The sequence below is a fragment of the Homo sapiens genome, chromosome 15 (genome assembly GCF_000001405.40).
Source record: "Homo sapiens chromosome 15, GRCh38.p14 Primary Assembly".
NCBI lineage: Eukaryota > Metazoa > Chordata > Mammalia > Primates > Hominidae > Homo > Homo sapiens.
In genome coordinates this window covers 90,156,316-90,180,879 of record NC_000015.10, presented here as the reverse complement: position 1 = coordinate 90,180,879, position 24,564 = coordinate 90,156,316, and the positions used below count along the sequence as shown (strand labels likewise).

The following is a 24,564-nucleotide window of genomic DNA, read 5'->3' as shown; positions in this document are numbered from 1 at the left end:
CTGTCACTGTCCTCTCACAACCATTAATCTCTTCTCCATCTGTATAGTTTTGTTATTTCAAGAATGTTATGTAAATATAGTGCATAACCTTTTGAGATTGGCTTTTTTCTTTTTATTTTTTTATTATTTTTTTTAAGACAACGTCTCTCTCTGTCATCCAGCCTGGAGTGCAGAGATTGGCTTTTTTCGATAACCATAATGCCTCTGAGATATATCCAACCAAGTCACTGTGTGTATCAATAGTTCTTTCCTTTTTATTACTGAGTAGTATCCCATGGAATGCATGTACTAGAGTTTAACTTTTTATTTTTTTGTACAGATGGGGGTCTCCCTATGTTGCCTAGGCTGGTCTTCAACTCCTGGGCTCAAGCAATCCTCCCACCTCAGTCTCTCAAAGTACTGGGATTACAGGCATAAGCCACCATATCTAGCTCAAGTTTATTCACCCATTGAATTGAAGGCTATTTGGGTTGTTTCCAGTTTTGGGCTATTACAAATGAAGCAACTCTAAACATTTGTGTACAGGTTTTTATATGAATGTAAGTTTTCATTTCTCTGAGATATATGTCCAAAGAATGCCATTGCTGTGTCTTATGGTAAGTGCATATCTAGTCTTATAAATTGCCATGATTTTTTGCAGAATGGCTGTACCATTTACATTTCCACCAGGAATGTGGAGAGAGATCCATTTTCTCCACACTCTTGCCAGCATTTCCTGTTATCACTGTTTTTTATTTTAGCTGCTCTTATAGGTGCATAGTAATATCTCATTGTGATTTTTTTATTGTAATTTTTTTTTTTTTTTTTGAGAGGGAGTTTTGCTCTCGTTGCCCAGACTGGAGTGCAATAGTGCAATCTCGGTTCACTGCAACTACCACCTCCCGGGTTCAAGCGATTCTCCTGCCTCAGCCTCCCAAGTAGCTGGGATTCCAGGCATGTGCCACTGCGCCCAGCTAATTTTGTATTTATAGTAGAGACAAGGTTTTACCATGTTGGCCATGGCTGGTCTCAAACTCTCAACCTCAGGTGATCCACCCACCTCGGCCTCCCAAAGTGCTGGGATTACAGGTGTGAGCCTGCCTCATTGACTCATTGACTCATTGACTTTTTTCTCTACATTACTGGCATCCTCCAGAACCCCTGTCTTTCCTTGCTTCTGCTCCATCCTGCATCTCTCCCCTATCTTCCTCTCCTTCCCCAGGACCTGAGGCATCCCCATGCCCCTCTTGAATGATTGTCTTCCCTCCTCTGATAAAAACCCTGAGGCTATAACAAACTGCTGGAAGAAAAAAAAAAAAAGCCCTGAGGCTGGCCACCCACCTCTGGCCACTTCCTTGTCACTAGAGACTTCGCATGTGGCTCCCAGTTCTTCACCTAAAGCTCCAGTCACTGTCTTGGTGACAAGTCCTGCATCTACTTTCTTACATCTCTGGTGACTTCCCTGACCCCACTTCAACCGCCACTCCAATTTTACCAGCAGTCACAGCTCCATCAGCAAGATCCCAAATTCAGGCATCCCAGTCTCTAACTCCCTTCTCTTTTCCTTCCTACTTCCTGGTTTAACACACTCGCTCAGACCTTCCTTGGACCTCAGCAGCCTCTCCAGGTCACTGATGTCCCACCTTCTCCTGATCCACTAGCCTTTCTCCCTCCCCATTCCCTTCTTACCCACTTAGATCCACCATTCCAACAACCTATTGCCTCAATTCTCTAACATCCCTTGTGGTCATTTTCACCACGTGGGAAAGCTCCAGATGTTAGCCAGGCAGGGCAGCACGCACCTGTAGTCCCAGCTACTAGGGAGGCTGAGGCAGGAGAATGGCTTGAACCCGGGAGGTGGAGGTTGCAGTGAGCTGAGATTGCACCACTGCACTCTGCACTCCAGTCTCCAGTCTGGGCGACAGAGTGAGACTCCATCTCAAAAAAAAAGAAAGAAAGAAAGAAAGAAAGCTCTAGATGAGCTCTGTGACCCACTTTCTCAGTACCTCTTCCTCAACAGTGGCTGGAGAGAGTCACTTAGGGTGGAGGGTTCCATTGCAAATCTAGGTTATCAGCTTCAGACCCTCAGCACCACCTGGGCTGTCCTTTCTCTGGCCACCTCTCTACATTGCTCTCTGGACCAACTCTCTTAAACATTTTCCCTTCTGTCCTTTACTTCACATACAAAACAGAAGTGAAGATCTCTGGCCTGAGATTGCAAAAACCACAACAACCAAAAACCAAAATAGAAGTCATGATGGGCGTGGTGGCTCACACGTGTAATTCCATCACTTTGGGAGGCCAAGGTGGGCAGATCACTTGAGCCCAGGAGTTCAAGACCTGCCTGGGCAACATAGCGACACTGCCCCATCTCGACAAAAAATTTTAAAAACTAGTCAAGTGTGGTGGCACACATCTGTAGTCCCAGCTATCTGGGAGGCTGAGGTGGAAGGATCACCCGAGCCTGAGAGGTTGAGGCTGCAGTGAGCTATGATCGTGCCACTGCACTCCAGTCTGGGCAACAGAGTGAGACCCTGTCTCAAACAAACAAACAAACAAAATTAAAGTCATCAGATGGGGTCTTCCTTATTTTTTTCCATCTGCATTGAGAGAGACCCAGTCTACTTTCATGAAAAGGGTGGTGGTCTTGGTATAGATGGATGGATAGATTGCTGTTTACAAGAAATGCAGTTATTTTACGTGTTTAGACACAACAAAACAGTGCTCTTTAACACACGCAAGTACAATGGCTATAGGTGCAAATACATTTTGCAATAACATACAAAGTCTAAATCTGAAGCTCTTTCTGAATTGGGAACCTAGGTAAATGGGCCCTCCTTGGTACCTAACAGGCTTCATCCACTTCCAAGCTACTCCCTGCAAGCCCCCCACCGCCCTGCCCCTCCTACCCTTCTTCTCACCAAAGTAATTGTTCTACACCCTGGCTGCGCATTGGAATCGCTTGGAGGAGCTGGCCAATTCTGCATATCATTTCAATCAGATTCTCTGGGGGTGAATCCAGGCTTCAGTTGTGTTTTTTTTTTTTTGACAGAGTGTCACTCCGTCACCAAGGCTGGAGTGCAATGGCACAATCTTGGCTCACCGCAACCTCTACCTGTTGGGTTCAAGCGATTCTCCTGCCTCAGCCTCCTGAGTAGCTGGGACTACAGGCGTGTGCCACCAGGCCCAGCTAATTTTTGTATTTTTAGTAGAGACGGGGTTTCACCACATTGGCCAGGCTGGCCTCGATCTCCTGACCTCAGGTGATCTGTCTGCCTTGGCCCCGCAAAGTGCTGGAATTACAGGCATGAGCCACCGCGCCCAACCAACATCAGTATTTATTTATTTGTTTTTTTGAGATTGATTCTTGCACTGTTGCCCAGGCTGGAATGCAAGGGTGCAATCTCGGCTCACCGCAACTTCTGCCTCCCGGGTTCAAGTGATTCTCATGCCTCAGCCTCCAGAATAGCTGAGATTACAGGCACCCGCCAACATGCCCAGCTAATTTTTGTATTTTTAATAGAGATGGGGTTTCACCACGTTAGCTAGGCTGGTCTCGAAGTTCTGACCTCAAGTGATCCGCCTGCCTCTGCCTCCTAAAGTGCTGGAATTATGGGCACCAGCCACTTCGCCCAGCCAAACACATGTAAATTTTCAAATTCTGTAGGTGATTCGAGCCAGCAGCAGAGGTTGGGGGTTGGGAAGCCAGTCCTACAGAAACTGCCCCTCCTCCTATCTACCCTTCCACTGTACTTTGTCTCCCACTCCCTCCCTCTCAACTGGTTTACTTCTAAAGACTTTTCTTTTTTTTTTTTTTCTGAGATGGAGTCTCGCTCTGTCACCCAGGCAGGAGTGCAGTGGCGCGATCTCAGCTCACTGCAACCTCCGCCTCCCAGATTCAAGTGATTCTCCTGCCTCCCAAGTAACTGGGACTACAGGTGTGTGCCACCAAGCCTGGCTAATTTTTGTATTTTTAGTAGAGATGGGGTTTCACCATGTTGGCCAGGCTGGCCTCGAACTCCTGACCTCAAGTGATCCCCCTGCCTCGGCCTCCCAAAGTGCTGGGATTACAGGCTGAGCCCCCGCACATGGCCTAAAGACTTTTCAACATGATCAAGTCTCTCCCACTTACGGAAAAAAGAAAAATTGCAAATACCCACAAATATTCCTTGACTTTCACATGCTGCTCCAAGCTCCTTCCCATCCCAGGGCTCTTAGCTAGAATGCTCTCCTCTGGTTCCAAGCTACACCCAGACTGGTAACTTAGTTACACCCTTAGCCTTGTTTCTCAAACCCTAATATGTATGCTGCTGTGCACCTGGGAGATCTTGTTAAAAAGCACATTTAGGCCTGGCGCAGTGGCAAATGCCTGTAATCTCAGTACTTTGGGAGGCCGATGGGAGGCCAAGGTGGGTGGATCACCTGAGGTCTGGAGTTTGAGACCAGCCTGGCCAACACAGTGAAACCCCGTCTCTACTAAAAATACAAAAATTAGCCGGGTGTGGTGGCGAGTGCCTGTAATCCCAGCTGCTCGGGAAACTGAGGTAGGAGAATCTCTTGAACCCGGGAGGCAGAGGTTGCAATGAGCTGAGATAGCGCCACTGCACTCCAGCCTGGGCAACAAGAGTGAGATTCCATCTCAAAAAAAAAATAAAAATAAAAAATAAAAATAAATAGCACATTTAGAAACTGTAGATCTGGGGGGGGGCTGAAGATTCTTCATTTTAACACAGTTCAATATGAGGGCGATGCTGTGCATTATCTTCAAGCAGTAAAGTTTTAAGTCTCTGCTCAACAGGCTCCTTGGGAAAGCAACCCCGACTTTCCTACGTTAAAGCCTCCTTCACAGCACTTAAGGCTTTTTTGATATTTCTGCTCGTCCTCCCAGTTTACTCCTCCATAAAATGGGCATTCCGGCCGGGTGCGGTGGCTCACGTCTGTAATCCTAGCACTTTGGGAGGCCGAGGCAGGCAGATTGCCTGAGCTCAGGAGTTCAAGACCAGCCTGGGCAACAAGGTGAAACCCCGTCTCTACTAAAATACAAAAAATTAGCTGGGCGTGGCAGCGTGTGCCTGTAGTCCTAGCTACTCGGGAGACTGAGGCAGGAGAATTGCTTGAACCCGGGAGGCGGAGGTTGCAGTGAGCCAAGATCGCACCACTGCAGTCCAGCCTGGGTGACAGAGCGACTCCGTCTCAAAAAAAAAAAAAAAAAAAAAAGGGGGCACTCCACAAAGGCATGAGACATGTCTGTCTGAGATTGCTTGCTGTCATGTCACCAGTGCCTCACATAGTGTCTGGCACATAGGAGGTGCGCTACAAACATTTGCAGGATAAAGTACATTGCTCACTACGTCAGAGAAGTAGTCCCTGCTCTAGTGAGCCAAACTCTTGTCTTCAGTAGAGCCTCTGCTCTGGGCAGAGGGAGCTGCCTCCTTTCAGCCCCTCCCCTTCCTCCAGGACTTCCATCTCACCCACCCCCTCCCCCTCACTCCCCAGGGAGCCACAGCCTCCAGTCCCAGAAACAGGGGATCAGAAAAAAACTACACAGGAGGTCCCTGGGCTCAATGTCTCTTCCCTGCTCCCAGACATGACCTACCTCCCCAGCCAACAAAATAGGACAAACAGGCCGGGCACGGTGGCTCACGCTTGTAATCCCAGCACTTTGGGAGGCCGAGGCAGGCGGATCTTGAGGTTAGGAGATTGAGACCATCCTGATCAACATGGTGAAACCCCGTCTCTACTAAAAATACAGAAATGAGCTGGGCATGGTGGCATGTGCCTGTAGTCCCAGCTACTCAGGAGGCTGAGGCAGGAGAATCGCTTGAACCTGGGAGGCGGAGGTTTCAGTGAGCCGAGATTAAGCCACTGCACTCAAGCATGACGACAGAGCGAGACCCTGTCCCCCCCGCCCCCCCTCCAAAAAAAATAGGACAAACAAACCTTTCTAGTTCCCTGGAAATTGATCTCTTCTTTTTATTGTTAGGGGTTTTGTAGGAAGGGTTAAACCGTTTACAGAAAGTGAGAAGCCTCCCTCCAGCCCTCCCTGACAACTCTTGAGATGCTCTGCAAAAGGTCAGATGTTTCCAGAAACTCAACAGACAGCCAGTGTCTGTTTAAATGGAAAGACAACGAGTTCCCGGCAGCCAGCCAGCTTTCATGGGCAGTTCTTGCCTGGTTCTGCAGGCACCCGGCCAGATGCCCAACCATAGAGCACCCCCACCCTCCCCCTTTTGTGGCCATGGGGCCGGCTGGAGTTCTCTTAACCCAGCCTGAAATCCCGCCGGCCAGGGAATTATCGGCCCCATCCGATAAATGGGGCACATACACCAACTGTTCCGGCCTGTAGACGTGCCAGGAGTGATGGGGGAGGGGGAAAAGTTCCTGCGGACACTGAATATTTTCAGCTGGAAGGGACTGTATCCTGACCCTGCTGTTTTAGAGATGAGGCTCAGAAAAGGGTACCTCTGGTGTAGTGGAGAAAATCCTTAACCAGAATCAGGAAACCTGGGTTCAAAATCCAGCCCTGGGGCTGGGCGCGGTGGCTCACGCCTATAATCGCAGCACTTTGGGAGGCCGAGGCGGGCGGATCACCTGAAGTCAGGAGTACGAGACCAGCCTGGCCAACATGGTGAAAGCCTGTCTTTACTAAAAATACAAAAATTAGCCGGGCATGGTGGCGGGCACCTGTAATCCCAGCTGCTCGGGAGGCTGAGGCAGGAGAATCGCTTGAACCCGGGAAGTGGAGGTTTCAGTGAGCCGAGATCACGCCACTGCACCCCAGCCTGGGCGACAGAATGAGACTCTATCTCAAAAAACCAAAACACGTCCAGGCGCGGTGGCTCATGCCAGCACTTCGGGAGGCCGAGGAGGGCGGATCACCTGAGGTCAGTAGTTCGAGACCAGTCTGGCCAACATGGTGAAACCCCGTCTCTACTAAAAATACAAAAAAAAAAAAAAAAAATTAGCCGGGCGCTGTGGCAGGCGCCTGTAATTCCAGCTACTTGGGAGGCTGAGGCAGGAGAATAGCTTGAACCCGGGAGGCAGAGGTTGCAGTGAGCCGAGATCCCGCCATTGCACTCCAGCCTGGGGGACAAGAGAGAGACTTCGTCTCAAAAAAAAAAAAAAAAAAAAAGAAAAGAAAAACAAAACAAAACAAAAAAAGAAAAAGACAGAAAAAAATCCAGCTCTGGCACTAAGAACTGTGGGATCTTGAGCACAGCATGAGTCCTCTCTGCACATCAGTTATCTATCTGTAAAACGCGGATGCAAATACCTCCCCGTCAGGTGGCTTGCCCAAGGTCACACACAGCACAAAACAAGGCTTCCAGATCCCAGCCTCAAGCCCAGTCACCTCTGCCCGCGGATTACCTTGAGCATCGATATTACAGAAAATAAGAAGTGGCTGAAGCTGGGCGTGGTGGCTCACACCAGTAATCCCAACACCTTGGGAGGGCAAAGGGGAGGATGGCTTAAGTCCAGGAGTTCAAGAGCAGCCTGGGCAACACAGTGAGAGCTCATCTCTACAAAAATTTAAAAAATTAGCTGGGCACGGTGGCACGTTCCTGTAGTCCCAGCTACTCAGGAGGCTGAGGTGGGAGGATGGCTCGAGCCTGCGAGGTTGAGGCGGCAGTCCACCACTGCCGCCACTGCACCACTGCAATCCAGCCTGGGCAACAAAGCAAGACCCTGTCTCAAAAAAATAAAAGTGACTGAAGACATACTTAAATAATTTGTGTCTTTTATTACTTAATCATGTTCTTTGTAGAAAAATTAGAAAATTCTGACAAGGAATGGTGGCTCAGGCCTGTGGTCCTGATACTTTGGGAGGCTGAGATGGATGGATCATTTGATTCCAGGAGTTCAAGACCAGCCTGGGGGACATGGTGAAACCCTTTTTCTACAAAAAAGTACAAAAATTAGCTGGGCATGGTGGCGCACACCTGTAGTCCTAGCTATTCAGGAGGCTAAGGTGAGAGTATCATCCGAGCCCAGAGAGGTTGAGGGTGCAGTGAGCTGTAATTGGATCACTGCACTCCAGCCTGGGTGACAGAGTGAGACCCCATCTCAAAAAAAAAAAAAAAATTAAAAAAAGAAAAGAAAATTCTGATAAGCACATAGAGAAATAAATTTATATTCCCATCCCCTGGAGTTAATAACTGTTAAAATTCTGGTGTTTAACCTTTCATAGTTTCAAGGTGTGTATTTACAAACTTTTTTTGAAGATGGACCATAGGATACATATGCTTTTACATTCCTGTTGCTCTCTTTTGTTTTTTTTTTTTTTTTTTTGCCTAACCCTGCCATGAACTAGCTCTTTTTGTTTCTATTTAACATTTCAATGGATAATTTACATCCATTAACGTCTACCTATAGTTAGATAAGTAAAGCATTCTATAGTTTGTCTAATCTCCTATAGCTAGATATTTAGGTTTTCAATATTTACATTATTATGAGCAAGATAAACTCATCTTTATTCATTTCTTTTATTTTCTTAGAATAAACTATGCTTTGTGGACTGCTGGATCAAAGGGTCTGTGTATGTGTATGTGTGTGTATATACGGGTCTCACTCTGTCACTCAGCCTGGAGTGCAGTGGCGCGATCTCTACCCACTGCAACTTCTGCCTCCTGGGTTCAAGCAATCCTCCCACCTCACCCTCCCGAGTAGCCGGTAATACAGGTGCTTGCCACCCTGCCAGGCTAATTTTTGTATTTTTTGTAGAGATGGGATTTCATCATGTTGCCCACTTTGGTGTTGAATTCCTGGGCTCCAGCGATCCTCCCACCTTGGCCTCCCATAGTGCTGGGATTACAGGCGTGAGCCACCGCGCCCAGCCAATATGTGCAAATATATTTTTTAATTTAAATTTTTGTCTATTTTTTTACACATATATTTTTAAAGAGACAAAGTCTTGCTGTGTTGCCCAGTTAGACTCAAACTTCTAGGCTTAAGTGATCCACCTCAGTCTCCCAAATGGCTGGGACTACAGGTGGTGCCTGGCTTGGATCTCTATATTTTTTAAAGGCTTCTGATACACTGTCAGATTGTTCTTGAGAAATGTTGTGAAAACGGTCATTTCTTAATATATTTCAACATATTTCTATATGAAGACTTGTCCTTTTTTCTTTCTTTTCTTCTTCTTCTTTTTTTTTTTTTTTTTGACAAAGGGTTTGGCTCTGTTGTCCAAGCTAGAGTACCATGGTGTGATCATGGCTCATTGCTCACTGCAGCCTCAACTTCCTGGGCTCAAGTGATCCTCCCACCTCAGTCTCCTGAGTAGCTGGGACTATAGGTGTGTGTCACCAGGCCTGGATAATTTATTTTGTTTATTTATTTTTCTTTCTGAAGATTCCAGAAGTATAATTTTTTATTTTTTGTAGAGACAGGGGTCTCTCCATGTGGCCCAGGTTAGTCTCCAATTCTTGCCCTGAAGCTATCCTCCCGCCTTGGCCTCCCACAGTGCTGGGATTCCAGGTATAAGGCACCGGTCCTGGCCAGTCCTTCTTTACCTGGAAAGCTGCTCTTTTCAACACAACACTCAGCCTTGGGAAACCCGAGGGTGTAGGAAGGAGAGCCCAGATAGGATGAAGGGGTACTGGTCCATGGACAGAGAGCAGGGTTGAGCAGGGGTTTTTTTTGTTTTGTTTTTGTTTTTTGTACCTGACTCACTCCTCCATGTGCCCAGGCATTAAGACGCCATTAAGGCGCAGTGGCTCACACCTTAATCCCAGCACTTTGGGAGGCTGTGGCAGGCAGATCACGAGGTCAGGAGATCAAGACCATCCTGGCCAACATGGTGAAACCCTGTCTCTCAGGAGAATCGCTTGAACCTGGGAGGTGGAGGTTGCAGTGAGCCGAGATCGTGCCATTGCACTCTAGCCTGAGTGACAGAGAGAGACTCTGTCTCAAAAAAAAAAAAAAGAAAGAAACCCTGTCTCTACTAAAACTACAAAAATTAGCTGGGCGTGGTGGCACATGCCTGTAGTCCCAGCTACTCAGGAGGCTGATGCAGGAGAATTGCTTGAACCCGGGAGGCCGAGATCACGCCCACTGCACTCCAGCCTGGAGACAGAGCAAGACTGTCTCAAGAAAACAAAACAAAACAAAAAAAGATAAGACCTGGCCAGTAAGATGTCCACGTCCCTTTCTCCTACCCCACATCACAACAAGGGCTACGGGATACGAGAGAAACTGGTCCAGATATTGACCTAGAAAACTCTGATGGATGGATTTTTTGTTGTTGCATGTGTTTTTGCATATCCTCCTTCCAGCCCTCTAAACAGTCACTTTCAAAAACTCTTCATTTCCAAGTTAGACATCACTATTACAACTTCTGTAAGCGGCTGTAGTTTTAGTAGAGACGGGGTTTCACCGTGTTAGCCAGGATGGTCTCGATCTCCTGACCTCGTGATCCACCTGCCTCGGCCTCCCAAAGTGCTGGGATTACAGGCGTGAGCCACCGCGCCCGGCCGACAGGGTTTTACTATGTCGCCCAGCCATGGTCATGGCTCACTGCAGCCTTGACCGCCTGTGGTCAATGGACCCTCCCACCTCAGTCTCCCTAGTAGCTGGGACTACTGGCATGCACCCATGCCTGGCTAATATCTTCTTCTTCTTCTTCTTCTTCTTTTTTTTTTTTTTTTTGAGACAGAGTCTTCCTCTGTCACCCAGGCTGGAGTGCAGTGGTGTGATCTCGACTCACTGCAACCTCCACCTCCCAAGTTCAGGCGATTCTTGTGCCTCAGCCTCCCAAGTAGCGAGGACTACAGGTGCATGCCACCACACCCGGCTAATGTTTGCATTTTTATTTAATTAATTAATTTATTTTTTGAGACGGAGTTTCGCTCTCATTGCCCAGGCTGGAGTGCAATGGCATGATCTCAGCTCTCTGCAACCTCCATCTCCCGGGTTCAAGTGATTCTCCTGCCTCAGCCTCCCATGCAGCTGGGATTACAGGCATGTGCCACCATGCCCAGCTAATTTTTGTATTTTTAGTAGAGACAGGGTTTCACCATGTTAGTTAGGCTGGTCTCGAACTCTTGACCTCAGGTGATCCACCCGCCCCGGCCTCCCAAAGTGCTGGGATTACATGCATGAGCCACTGTACCCAGCTATTTTTCTATTTTTTTTTTTTAAATAGAGTTGGGGGTCTCACTATGTTGCCTAGGCTGGTATATTTTTATTTTATTTTATTTTTTATGAGACTAAGTCTTGCTCTGTTGCCCAAGCTAGACTGCAGTGGCAAAATCTTGGCTCAGTGCAACCTCCATTTCCCAGGTTTAAGTGATTCTCATGCCTCAGCCTCCTGAATAGCTGGAATTACAGGTGCTCACCACCATGCCCGGCTAATTTTTGTATTTTTAGTAGAGATGGGGTTTCACCATATCGGCCAGGCTGGTCTCAAACTCCTGACCTCAGGTGATCCACCCACCTTGGCCTCCCGAAGTGCTAGGATTAGAGGCATAAGCCACTGTGCCCAGCCAGATATATTTTAAATTTATTGTAAACTATTAATGTATGTCAAAACTATATACAGGCAAACTTCGTTTATATTGCTCTTTGAAGATATCACGTTTCGTAGATACTGCATTTTTTTATGAATTGAAGGTTTGTGGCAAGGTCAAGCAAGTCTATGAGCACAGCTTCTCCAACAGCATGTGCTCACTTAGTGTCTGTGTCACATCTTGCTGATTCTTTCAACGTTTCAAACTTTTTCATTATTAATATATCTGTTATGGTGATCTGTGATTGGTGATCTTTGATGTTACTATTTAATTGTTTTGGGGTACCATGAACCGGGCCCATACAAGATGGCAAACTTAATTGATAAACTTTTTTTCTTTTTTTTCTTTTTGAGGCAGAGTTTCACTTGCTCAGGCTGGAGCTCAGTGGTGTGATCTTGGCTCACCGCAATCTCTGCCTCTGGGGTTCAAGCGATTCTCCTGCCTCAGCCTCCGGAGTAGCTTGGATTACAGGAGTGCGCCACCACGCCCGGGTAATTTTTGTGTTATTAGTAGAGATGGGGTTTTACCATATTGGCCAGGCGGGTCTCGAACTCCTGACCTCAGGTGATCCACCCGCCTCGGCCTCCCAAAGTGCTGGGATTACAGGTGTGAGCCACTGTGCTCAGCCACAATTGATAAACGTTTTGCTTGTTCTGGCTGCTCCATCAAACGGCCACCAACGGGTCATTCTCCCTCCCTTCTGTCTCCCTCTTCTGGAGCCTCCCTATTCCCTGAGACACAAAGATGTTGCAATTAGGCCAATTAATAACCCTATGATGGCCTCTAAGTCCTCTGTTCACACAAAAGCAAGAGTTCCACATCTCTAGGTACAAAGGATTAAGCTTAGTGAGGAAGGCATGTTGAAAGCCAAAACAGGCTGAAAAACTAGTCTTCTTGAGCCAATTAGCCAAGTTTAAAAGACAAAGGAAAATTAAAGGCACTATGACAGTGAACACACAAACAGGAAGTACGCAAAACAGGCTGGGCGTGGTGGCTTGCACTTATAATCCCAGCAATTGTGGTGCCCAGGCAGGCAGATTGCTTGAGCCCAGGAGTTCGAGACCAGCCTGGCCAACATGGGCAAACCCAGTCTCTACAAGACATATAAAAGTTAGCAAGGTATGGTGGTGCACGCCTGTGGTCCCAGCTACTTGGGAGGCTGAGGTAGGAGGATCGCTTGAGCCTAGGAGGTCAAGGCTGCAGTGAGCCATGACTGTGCCACTGCACTCCCATCTGGGTGACAGAGTGGAACCCTGTCTCAAAAAAATTTTTAAATTAAAAAAAAAAATTAAAAAGATATATCCTTTTTTTTGTTTTCAGACAGAGTCTGGCTCTATCACCCAGGCTGGAGTGCAATGGCATGATCTTGGCTGACTGCAACCTCCGCCTCCTGGGTTCAAGCGATTCTCCTGCCCCAGCCTCCCAAGTAGCTGGGATTATAGGCACCCGCCACTATGCCTGGCTAATTTCTGTGGTATCTGCATATTTTTTAGAGATAATATGATGGCTTACTTAATAGACTACAGGATAGTATGAACATAACTTTTATATGCACTGGGAAACCAAAAAAAATTCATGTGACTTGCTTTACTGCAGTGGTCTGGAACTGAACCTGCAGTATTTCCAAGGTATGCCTATATATCAAAAAGGCCTGGAGGGATTCAGCAGCAACATGTTAACTCCCCTCTGGGAAGGAGGGTGGTTTGGGATGGGGTGGTAGACATTACCAAGGTGAATCAATATTTCCAGCTCTCTTCCTGTGTCCAGGGGAAGGTTATACTTTCACACTGTCTTGAAGTTAGGTGTATCCTTGTGATTTGCTTGTGAAATGTGAGGAAAAGTGTCAAGTATCCCTTCCAGGGGAGGCATTTGAGATCCTGTGTTGGTTCTCATGCTTTCTTCCTCTATAATGGTGAACTGTGAAGTATCACGTTGGGATGGTGGCATCATATGTTGGTGGCACTGTGACTATGGTGCGGACTACAATGAGCTGAATCTCTGTGTCCATGTTAGGAATAAAGCATGGGCAAGAAAAAAATCTTTGTTGTTTTAAGCCATTGACATTTTTAGAGATGTTTGTTACCACAGCATAGCCTAGCCTGTCCTGACTGATGCAAGGGGTGATGAGAGAGTTTCGTGTCTTCTGCTAGCCTTTTCTGTATTTTTATCCTTTTACAATGAGAAAATGCCATTTATAATTTTTAAAAATAAAAATAAGATGCCTGTCATGGTGGCTCATACCTGTAACCCCAGCACTTTGGGAGGCTGAGGCGGGAGGATCTCTTGATCCCAGCAGTTTGAGAACAGCCTAGGCAACATGGTGAAACCCCAAAAATTAGCTGTGCGTGGTAGCATGAGCCTGTAGTCCCAGCTACTTGGTAGGCTGAGGTGGGAGAATCACCTGAGCCTGGGAGGTCGACGCTGCAGTGAGCCGAGATTGTGCCACTGTATTCCAGCCTGGGTGACAGAGTGAGCAAAATAATTTAAAAAATAAGAATAATTGACATGCACACAAATAGGAGCATAATATATACACTGCTATCCAATGTTCCTCTTATTCTTAAAACTGACCTTACGTTTTTGTTTTTGGTTTTTGGGTTTTTTTAGGGACTGGATCTCACTCTGTCACTCAGGCTGGAGTGCAGTGGTGTGATCATAGCTCACTGCAGCCTGGAACCCCTGGGCTCAATGATCCTCCTGCCTCGGCCTCCCAAAGTGTTAGGATTACAGGTGTGAGCCACCGTGCCCGGCCAAACTGACCCTTTCTATGTCAACTTACATAGCTCTACCTCGTTCTTTTAAATAGCTGCATGGTAATCTGTTCTCTGGATACACTACAATGTATTTTATACAAACACACACATTTTTTTAGAGACAGAGTCTTGCTAAGTTGCGCAGTCTGGAGTGCAGTGGCTATTCACAGAACCATCCTGCTACTGATCAGCACCAGAGTTCTGACCTGCTCTGTTTCGGACTTGGGCTGGTTCATCTCTCCTTAGACAACCTGGTGGTCCCCCAGCTCCCAGTAGGTCGCCATATTGATGCCCAACTTAGTGTGGACACACTATAAGCATAGAGCACTACAGCCCAGAACTTCTGGACTCAAGTGATCCTTCCACCTCAACCTCCTGAGTAGCTGATTACAAGGTGCCCACCACCACAATGTATCATAATGGATCACTATTGACAGACGTATAGGTTATTCACATATAGATTATTCACATCCGGTTATTCACAAAACAAATGCTCTAAATCACAGCTAGACTACAGCTGACTATTGCAAAATTTATGGGAGAGTGCTGATATTTATTTTCCCTCTTTTGTTTCATTCTGGCAGTTTACAGCCTGATCTTAGCACTCAGGTAGGGCTGTGCAAACTTCCTGTGGATGGATGACTAAGCCAGGCATGCTTGCACCCTTTCCAGGATATACGGATGAGGAGGCTGGTAAGTGCCTGCAGGGGTGCATGCGTGAAGGCTTGGGGGCGGGCCAGAAGAGCAGGGCCGGGAAGCACGTACACATTGCAGCTCTGGGCTGACTGACCCTGACTCATGAGTTCAGGCAGAGAAGTTAACGGCCTGGAAACTCCAGAGCGCTGAACGAGGTCTGACTCACTGACAATTATCCAGAAACGAGTAATATCACTTCTCGGTTTTCCTCCAGAGCCACCACACAATCTTTGGGAAGGGCCTGTGACATGAATCATTAAGATCCTGAGAAAGATGAGAGTTGTTCAAAGAGACTGCCAAGAGGTTTATAATTTCTGTGTCATTCATTGGAAGATGTCTACTTAGTCCTCATTACCTTCATATTTTGAATGCCCCCCAAGTAAAGGGTCCATTCATGGGTGACACAGATTCCACCTGCATCCCTAGAGGGATCTGACTGAAAACATGAGACACATGTATCAGGACTTCTTCCCATTCTTTTATTTCTATTCAGTGGTCTTCCTTCCTTCCTATTTCATAAGATAGGGTCTCACTGTGTTGCCCAGGCTGGAGTGTGGTGGCTATTCACATACATAATCATGGCTTACTGCAGCCTCCAGTCCCTGGCCTCAAGTGATCCTCCTGCCACAGCCTCCTGTGTTGCTGGGACTACAGGCCCATGTCACCATGCTTGGCCTATTCAGTAGCTTTTTTCAATTCTTTTTCAGAATGAAAATGGCTTTATTGGCTGGGTGCAGCGGCTTATGCCTGTAATCCAAGCATTTTGGGAGGGTGAGGCAGGTGGATTACCTGAGGTCACGAGTTCAAGACTAGCCTGATCAACATGGTGAAACCCCATTTCCACCAAAAATACAAAAAAATTAGCTGGGCTTGGTGGTGCACACCTGTAATCGCAGCTACTCGGGAGGCTGAGGCAGGAGAATCACTTGCACCCAGGAGGCAGAGGTTGCAGTGACCTGAGATCACGCCATTGCACTCTAGCCTGGGCAACGAGAGTAAAACTCCATCTCAAAAAAAAAAAAAAAAAAAAAAGCCTGATTATAAAGGAAATACTTGCCCATTATAAAATAAAACTTCAGACAAGTATATAGAAGGGAGTGAAATCACCCATAAGGTGATTCCCAGAGATGCTGCTATTAGCATTCTGGAGCACATCCTTCCAGACTTTCTGTATGTGTGTCTGCATACAACGGAGACACATATTTGCAAAGTTACCAATAAGTATAGATTTCTGCCCTCATTTGGAGGAGCTGCCCCATATTCCATCACAAGGGTGCCTCTCGTCTCCTCCCTCTCCTGCTGCAGATCTAACAGAAGGCCATGGCAAGGACTTAAAAAGCTTTCTTTTCTTTTTCTTTTTTTTTGAGACAGGGTCTGTCTCTGTTGCCCAGGCTGGAGTGCAGTGATGTTATTTTGGCTCACTGCAGCCTCAACTTCCCAGGCTCAAATCATCCTCCCACCTCAGCCTCCCGAGTAGCTGGGACTACAGCGACATACCACCATACTGCTGATCTTTGTTTGTTTTTTTTTTTGAGACAGAGTCTTGCTCTGTTGCCCAGGCTGAAGTGCAATGGCATGATCTCGGCTCACTGCAACCTTCACCTCCCAGGTTCAAGAGATTCTCCTGCCTCAGCCTCCTGAGTAGCTGGGATCACAGGTGTGTGCCACCATGCCTGGCTAATTTTTGTATTTTTGGTAGAGATGGGGTTTTGCCATGTTGCCTAGGCTGGTTCAAACTCCTGGGCTCAAGCCATCCTCCCACTTTGGCCTCTCAAAGTGCTGAGATTACAAACATGAGCCAACATGGCTGGCCTCCCGGCCGATAAGCTTTTTTTTTTTTTTTTTAAATTGAGATGGAGTCTTACTCTGTCACCCAGGCTGGAGTGCAATGACGTGATCTTGGCTCACTGCAGCCTCCACCTCCTGGGTTCAAGTGATTCTCCTGCCTCAGCCTCCCGAGTAACTGGGATTACAGGCATGTGCTACCACACCTGGCTAAGTTTTGTATTTTTAGTAGAGATGGGGTTTCACCATGTTGGCCAGGGTTGTCTTGAACTCCTGACCTCAGGTGATCCACCTGCCTCGGCCTCCCAAAGTGCTGGGATTATAGGCGTGAGCCACTGCGCCCGGCCCAGATAAGCTTGTAATGAGCCTAATAAAGGCATCTAAAGATGGCATTTTGGTTTTAACAATTTAGCCGTGAAGAACTCCATCTTCCATGCAACTGGAAGGGAATTTACATGCATATGGTCATGGGGGGAGGAACACTGTGCTTAGAGTCAGACCAGCTGAGTTCTAGAATTCCCTTTGCCATTTTCCTATGTGGGCAAGTCCCTTCACCTCTCTGAACCTCATCTGCAGTTGAATATATGTGAAACCGGCTGTTAAGTACTATGTGCTATGTACTCTGTAGAGGCATTACTGGGATTCTGTGGCAGAATAGGGCAGAGACTTTGACTTCTCAGTCCAGGAAGAAGGCAAGAATTTTAGTTTCCCTGGAAGAGACCTAAAGGTAAGTCTCATCACATATATCCAAGAGCCCTAGAAAAATTTAGAGCTCAAAAGCATTTCAGAGATCAGAATAGTACCCCCTCATTGCAGTAATTCTCAACATGTGTACATGGATAACATGACCTAATGGAGAAATGCGATCGATATGTGGATCTTCGGCATTCTATGTCTGGCTGGAGCTTCCTGAGACTAATAGTTCTCTTCCTGGTTCTGCACCAAATGAGGGATATTACCTTAGGCAAGTTCCTGTAAGCCTCTGGACGCGTCGATTTTCTGATTTATGAAATGGAGTTTATGATCCTGCTCTACCTGTCTCACAGAGTTATTGGGAGGTGCAAATGAGGCACCACAGGTGAAAGTATTTTGGAAATGGACAGTGTTTCACGCTCACAAAGCTGCCTCATTGCGGTGCCAGGGCCACTGCCCCAGATCACAGAGAAACGATGGGCACAGGCAGCCCAGACCCTACTTCAAGGTGGGTCTTACAGAATGGGTAGTCTACAGAGTCCCTGAGTGCCTACTCTGCCAGGCACTGCTCTGGGCACTTCTGGGGAGATAAAGGGAGAAAGGACAGACAGGTTCCCTGTCTTCACGGAGCTTAGCTTCTGGTGGAGGGAGGTAGACAATAAAAAAGGGAGACACGGCAAGTGTGATGGCTCACGCCTGTAATCCCAGCACTTTGGGAGGCCAAGGCGGGCAGATCACGAGGTCAGGAGTTTGAGACCAGCCTGACCAACATAGTGAAACACCATCTGTACTAAAAAATACAAAAAATTAGCCGGCTGTGGTGGCGTATAACTGTAATCCCAGCTACTTGGGAGGCTGAGGCAGGAGAATTGCGTGAACCCGGGAGGCGGAGGTTGCAGTGAGCCAAGATTGCGCCATTGTATTCCAGCCCAGATGACAGTACGAGACTCTGTCTCAAAAAAAAAAAAAAAAAAAAAAAAGGGAGATAAATACAAAAAGGATAATTTCAGAGACAGGTATGCTCTGGATATAAAACTGGATGATGTTGGTTGAGAGGGACAAGGCAGGGGTGACAGAAGAAGACTGCTCTGAGGAGGTTACACCTAAGCACAAGACCTGAGTGATAAAGACAGCAACCGAAAGACCTGAAGCTCAGAGTGTTTCAGGACAAAGGGACAGCGAGTGCAAAAGCCCTAAGGCAGGAACAAAGTCCTATTCAAGGAACTTAAAGAAGCCTGGTGACTGGGAGCTACAGCAGAAGTTGGAAGGGAGCAGGCCAGGGCTTGTGGCAGGTTTTGAGGAGAAGTGAGACATAGTCTAGTTTGTGTTATGCAAAGATTACCCTCTGCTGGGTTTGAAGTTTCATTTCCTAAGCTGAGTGCAGTGGCTTACCCCTGTAATTTCAACATTGTGGGAGGCCAAGGTGGGTGGGTCACCTGAGGTCAGGAGTTCAAGACCAGCCTGGCCAACGTGGTGAAACCCCATCTGTACTAAAAATACAAAAATTAGCCGGGTGTGGTGGTGTGTGTCTGTAATCCCAGCTACTCGGGAGGCTGAGGCGGGAGAATTGCTTGAACCCGGGAGGCAGAGGTTGCAGTGAGCCGAGATCGCGCCACTGCACTCCAGCTTGGGCAACAGAGACCCCGTCTGAAAAAATAAAATTAAGTTCATCTCCATAGGCGGTGTTGGGGACAGCAGTGAATTTTAAGGGCTTGCAAGGGCTTTATGCATGAACCAGCACAACCTCCTGAACCTTCATAGTACAAAATTGAGACACGGAGAGAGCTGGCTTGCCTAAGGTCTCTCCAGTGCCCCATCCTGGGCTGGCATTCAAACCCAGCTCTCAGATCCCAGGTGCCGCCTCTACACCCAAGACCACCCCTCCAGGAGAGGTTGGGAGGGGGCTCACTGAGGCCACACTGTGGAATGAGGACCCAGAATAGGTCTCTCTCAGTGCCCCAAGGTTTCCTGGTTTAGCCAGTGAGATCCCATCACTGGGTTCCAGAAAGGAAGTACGTTGCCCATGCTGGGCCCTGTTTGGTGTCACCAGACTTAGCCCTCAGCCCTCAGTTGGCAGGGACAGGGAGGAGGGGTCAGCTCCATGAACCCAGACAGCCAAGAGCAACCTGATCCAGCAGGAAGCTGGCCTCCAGCCAGACAAAGCATCCACAGGCACCTGGAGCCTTTGTTCCCTTTACTCCTGTTGCAAACTTTCCCAGCACCTGCACTGAGCCTCAGGAGCACCTGGGCCACGAAGGGGCTCCCACGGGATCTGGTTCTCCTGCAACAGGGAGTGGCCAACTCCTGACCAGAGGGAGACCTCGTGTTAACATTATAATGATAACAACAATAGTGTCCACTTACGGCGCTCACTACGGGCCAGGTGTGTCATTCCATTTAACTCCCACAACAAACCCAGAGGCATGTACTATTATTATTCCCATTTCACAGATTAGGAAGTGCAAGCATAGAGAGGTAAGTTGACCTGAAGTGAAAATAGCACGGGCTTTCGAATCAGCAAATCCCAACCTTGTTTGCCTCTGTGACCTTGGGCAAGATATGTAAACTTCACAGGACCTGTCGTCTGATTCTGACCCCAGAAGACTGCAGTGCGGATTGAATAACTGGATGTAAGCAAAGCCTCTGGCACCAGGATCTGAATCCACAGGTCTTGTCTTCGTCCCTCCCTCCCACCATAGTTCTGTGACCTTGGGCTTGTTACTACCACTGAGGTCAGTTTCCTCAAGTAAACAGGTATAATAATATTACCTAATAAGGCTGTTGAAGGCCTGCAGCTCTTTGGAGAGGAATACTTCTTTAGAGAAGGCTGTGATCCTGAGACCATCCAAGGAAGATGCCGTTTAACGTATTGCCCTCTTTGCTTTCTACCAAAATAAACAAAGAAACACAAATAGAAAAACCGGTCTTAGAGCCATTTCCCATTTGAGACAAAAAGCCAATATTACTCATACAGCTGAGCGCAGAAGATTTTCTCAGAAGGAAAACCAGAAGTGACCGCTCAAGTCATAACATGGTTACCAGGATTCTATTTCCACACCCTCAGACAGGACAAATGACCCCACCCACAGCAGTGGTGACAAGAGGACAAGATGGACTGTTGTAGGCTCCTATAAAGTCTAGGGAAAGGCCGGGTGTGGTGGCTCACGCCTGTAATCCCAGCACTTTGGGAGGCCGAGGTGGGTGGATTACTTGAGGTCAGAAGTTTGAGACCAGCCTGGCCAACATGCCGAAACCCCGTCTGTACTAAAAATATGATAATTAGTGAGGTGTGGTGGTGGGTGCCTGTAATCCCAGCTACTCAGGAGGCTGAGGCAGGAGAATCGCTTGAACCTGGGAGGTGGAGGTTGCCGTGAGCTCAGATCATGCGACAGCACTCCAGCCTGGGCGACAGAGTGAGATGCCGTCTCAAACCACCCACCCCCGCAAAAAAACAAACAAACAATAAATAAAATAGGTCCGGTGTAGTGGCTCATGCCTGTAATCCCACACTTTGGGAAGCCAAGGTGGCAGATTGCCTGAGCTCAGGAGTTCGAGACCAGCCTGGGTAACATAGTGAGACCCCCCCCAACCCCCCGTCCCTACAAAAAATTAAAAAAATTAGCCAGGCATGTTGGCACACACATGTAGTTCCAGCTACTTGGGAGGCTGAGGTAGAAGGATCACTTGAGCCTGGGAGGTCGAGGCTGCAGTAAGCTATAATTGTGCCACTGCACTCCAGCCTGGGCAACAGGGTGAGACTTGTCTCAAAAAGAAAAAAAAAAAAAGGTAATTGGAGGGGAAAATCCTATTCTTCTTGGATTGCTAAGCTGGTAGGATGTGAATCCTGACCGGTTGATAGCCATTTTCTGGGTGGCGAAAGGCTTTCTGCAGTAGTGGGGGATGAAGACATCAATGAAAGAAGCCAGTGTGAGTGGCAGTGTCCTGACGTTGTATTCCCAGACCCCTATGGTTCCTGCTACCCCTCCCATGGTGTGGTTCAATGAACCAATAAATTCCTTTCTGTTCCTGGCAAATCCAGAGCCCTGCCTAACCCAACCACCCAGCACTGAGTAGTAATAAACACAAGAGTTCAGTAGGAGAAATGCCATGGGCAGGACTGGAAGTGAAAGTTCTAGGCAACAGGGTTGTGAAGTCAGAGAGGGACAAGACTGCCTCATTCATTCTGTCAATATTTTTGAGTGCTTGCTTGTACCAGGCACCTGTTAGTCACTCAGGATATAACAGTGAATGAGAAGGGCCTGGTCCCTTTTCTCACTTTGGAATAATCAGAGAGGGGACCCTGGAGTTGGTGAGGCATGAGGAGGTCACTGAAAGATGGTAAAATCTGGCCAGGCAGAGAGGGATGAGGAGAATTTTCCACAAATAGAAAAACATGAATAAAGATTCAAAGGCATAAAACTGTAGTGCCTATGCGCCGGGCGCGGTGGCTCATGCCTGTAATCCCAGCACTTTGGGAGGCCGAGGCGGGCGGATCACTTGAGGTCGGGAGTTCAAAACCAGTCCGGCAAACATGGTGAATCCCCATCTCCACTAAAGATTCAAAAATTAGCCTGGCATGGTGGTGCGTGCCTGTAGTCCCAGCTACTTGAGAGGCTGAAGCAGAAAAGCCAGAGGGGTGGAGGCTGCAGTGAGCGGAGATCACACCACTGCACCCCAGCCTGGGCAACAGAGTGAGACTCTGTTAAACAAACAAACAAACAAACAAAAACTATAGTGTCTATGAAGTCACAGACAAGGTCCTGTATTTCCACAGTGCCTGGCTACCATATGTGCTCAATAAGTGTTTGCTGTGTGTCGAAGTAAGTGCAAAAATGAATCAATGAAGCAAAGTTTAAGTCATTTTCTGGAAGAGCAGGTCATTAGCTGGGCTGGAGAAGAGGTCCTTTTGGAAAAGGTAACGCGGAGGGAGGGAGATTGAAGCCAGACTTCAGACGACCTTGCTGAAAAGCATGGTCTTTGCCTTGATCACACCACACAATCCCAGCGCTGGCAGGGCTGGGAGCAGCTGGCCAGTCAGAGCGGCTCCCACAAGCTTTGTGTGGCCCCATCTGTACTGTGGCTGCCCCGCCCATGCTCTCCAGCCTCGCCAGCCAGGCTCCACCCAGCACCCTAACCAGCACCACAGCCACCCAAGGTCATGCCCCAGACACCACCCGCCCTGCTGGCTCCTGGGCAAAGCTGCTTGCACAGCACTCCTGCTCAGTCTGTAATTTAAACATGACCTCCTCTTCAGCCTAGAGCGCTCGTGGCTTTCTACACCCCAGACATACACTCTGCTGCGGGGAGTTGCTAGTACAGGAAAAGAGGTCTGGAGTCTCCTGGAACTCCTGGACCTTGGCCAAGAGGGCATTCCTCCCAACTCCACTAGGCTGAGGCTGGACACAGCTAGGGTCCCCATCGTTGGTTCCTTAGCCTAGGACTAGGGAGACCATGCCCCCTCGTGGCCAGGAGCCACGCAGCACGTTGGCCTTTTTGGAGAATTTGCACCATTTCTTTCTTTTTTTCTTTCTTTTTTTCTTTCTTTCTTTCTTTCTTTCTTTCTTTCTTTCTTTCTTTCTTTCTCTTTCTTTTCTTTCTTTCTTTCTTTCTTTCTTTCTTTCTTTCTTTCTTTCTTTCTTTCTTTCTTTCCTTCTTTCCTTCTTTCTTTCCTTCCTTCCTTCCTTTCTTTTTCTTTCTTTCTCCTTCCTTCCTTCCTTCCTTCCTTCCTTCCTTCCTTCTTTCAAGAAAATACATTTCTGAAAAGCTGAGAATATCAATAGGTCATTTAAGTTACACAGGTTGATATCTCAAAGAATCTCATAGTAAAGAATTTTTGAAAAAGCTGTTTTGGGCCTGGTGCGGTGGCTCACGCCTGTAATCCCAACACTTTGGCAGGCTGAGGTGGGTGGATCACGAGGTCAGGAGTTCAAGACCAGCCTGGCCACGACGTCGGGAGTTCAAGACCACTAAAAATACAAAAATTAGCCAGGCACGGTGGCAGTTGCCTGTAATCCCAGCTACTCGGGAGGCTGACCCAGGAGAATTGCTTGAACTCAGGTGGCAGTGGTTGCAGTGAGCCGAGATCGCGCCACTGCAATCCAGCCTGGGCGATAGAGTGAGACTCCATCTCAAAAAAAAAAAAAAAAAGGAAAGAAAGAAAAAGAAAAAGCTGTTTTGGATTTGCCAAAACCAAAGCAAATGTTTCTGACTCTAATTTCTTTTATTTTTATTTATTTATTTTTTGAGACAGAGTTTCACTCTTGTTGCCCAGGCTGGAGTGCAATGGCACGATCTCAGCTCACTGCAACCTCTGCCTCCTGAGTTCAAGCGATTCTCCTACCTCAGTCTCCCAAGTAGCTAGGACTACAGGCGTGCACACACCTGGCTAATTTTTGTATTTTTAGTAGAGACGGGGTTTCACCATGTTGGCCAGGCTGGTCTCAAACTCCTGACCTCAATTGATCCTCTTGCCTAGGCCTCCCAAAGTGCTGGGATTACAGGCAAGAGCCACCACGTCCCGCCTCTAATTTCTCTCCTCTTCTCTCCTTTCCTTTCCTTTCCTCTCCTCTCCTTTCCTTTCCTCTTCTCTTCTTGTTTTTTTCTTTTCTTCCCTCCCTCCCTCCCTCCCTCCTTCCTTCCTTCCTTCCTTCCTTCCTTCCTTCCTTCCTTTTTGAGACAGAGTTTTGTTCTGTCACCCAGACCTGAGTGCAATGGGCACAATTTTGGCTCACTGCAACCTCCATCTCCCCGGTTCAAGTGATTCTTCTGCCTCAGCCTCCCGAATAGCTGGAACTACAGGCACCTGCCACCATGCCCAGCTAATTTTTTGTATTTTCAGTAGAGATGGGGTTTCACCATGTTGGCCAGGCTGCTCTCGAACGCCTGACCTCAGGTGATCCACCTGCCTCAGCCTTCCAAAATGCTGGGATTACAGGCATGAGCCACCGCACCCGGCTTAATTTCTTTCTTTTTTTTTTTTTTCTTTTCTTTTTTTTTTGAGATGGATTCTTGCTCTGTTGTCCAGGCTGGAGTGCAGTGGCGCAATCTCAGCTCACCGTAACCTCTGCCTCCCAGGTTCAAGCGATTCTTCTGCCTCAGCCTCCCAAGTAGCTGGGACTACAGGCGTGCACTACCATGCCCGGCTAATTTTTGTA

The 24,564-nt window shown here is 47.6% G+C and overlaps 1 pseudogene, besides 7 other annotated features; it reads right to left on the bottom strand.

The window, feature by feature from the left end:
- Positions 1,912-2,817: an enhancer, noted in NCBI's record as "H3K27ac-H3K4me1 hESC enhancer chr15:90721295-90722200 (GRCh37/hg19 assembly coordinates)". NCBI's record gives its function as "activates a minimal SCP1, AML or CMV promoter by ChIP-STARR-seq in primed H9 embryonic stem cells {active_cell/tissue: H9 hESC(primed)}" and the evidence as "EXISTENCE:reporter gene assay evidence [ECO:0000049][PMID:30033119]".
- Positions 5,945-6,445: an enhancer, noted in NCBI's record as "H3K4me1 hESC enhancer chr15:90717667-90718167 (GRCh37/hg19 assembly coordinates)". NCBI's record gives its function as "activates a minimal SCP1, AML or CMV promoter by ChIP-STARR-seq in primed H9 embryonic stem cells {active_cell/tissue: H9 hESC(primed)}" and the evidence as "EXISTENCE:reporter gene assay evidence [ECO:0000049][PMID:30033119]".
- On the bottom strand, positions 14,354-14,647 carry RN7SL346P (RNA, 7SL, cytoplasmic 346, pseudogene; annotated as a pseudogene).
- Positions 16,918-17,073: a silencer, noted in NCBI's record as "fragment chr15:90707039-90707194 (GRCh37/hg19 assembly coordinates)". NCBI's record gives its function as "represses an EF-1alpha promoter that drives an FKBP-Casp9 reporter gene in an ReSE screen in K562 erythroleukemia cells {active_cell/tissue: K562}" and the evidence as "EXISTENCE:reporter gene assay evidence [ECO:0000049][PMID:32094911]".
- Positions 18,785-19,377: an enhancer, noted in NCBI's record as "H3K27ac-H3K4me1 hESC enhancer chr15:90704735-90705327 (GRCh37/hg19 assembly coordinates)". NCBI's record gives its function as "activates a minimal SCP1, AML or CMV promoter by ChIP-STARR-seq in primed H9 embryonic stem cells {active_cell/tissue: H9 hESC(primed)}" and the evidence as "EXISTENCE:reporter gene assay evidence [ECO:0000049][PMID:30033119]".
- Positions 19,378-19,970: an enhancer, noted in NCBI's record as "H3K27ac-H3K4me1 hESC enhancer chr15:90704142-90704734 (GRCh37/hg19 assembly coordinates)". NCBI's record gives its function as "activates a minimal SCP1, AML or CMV promoter by ChIP-STARR-seq in naive H9 embryonic stem cells {active_cell/tissue: H9 hESC(naive)}" and the evidence as "EXISTENCE:reporter gene assay evidence [ECO:0000049][PMID:30033119]".
- Positions 21,984-22,500: an enhancer, noted in NCBI's record as "H3K4me1 hESC enhancer chr15:90701612-90702128 (GRCh37/hg19 assembly coordinates)". NCBI's record gives its function as "activates a minimal SCP1, AML or CMV promoter by ChIP-STARR-seq in naive H9 embryonic stem cells {active_cell/tissue: H9 hESC(naive)}" and the evidence as "EXISTENCE:reporter gene assay evidence [ECO:0000049][PMID:30033119]".
- Positions 22,501-23,018: an enhancer, noted in NCBI's record as "H3K4me1 hESC enhancer chr15:90701094-90701611 (GRCh37/hg19 assembly coordinates)". NCBI's record gives its function as "activates a minimal SCP1, AML or CMV promoter by ChIP-STARR-seq in naive H9 embryonic stem cells {active_cell/tissue: H9 hESC(naive)}" and the evidence as "EXISTENCE:reporter gene assay evidence [ECO:0000049][PMID:30033119]".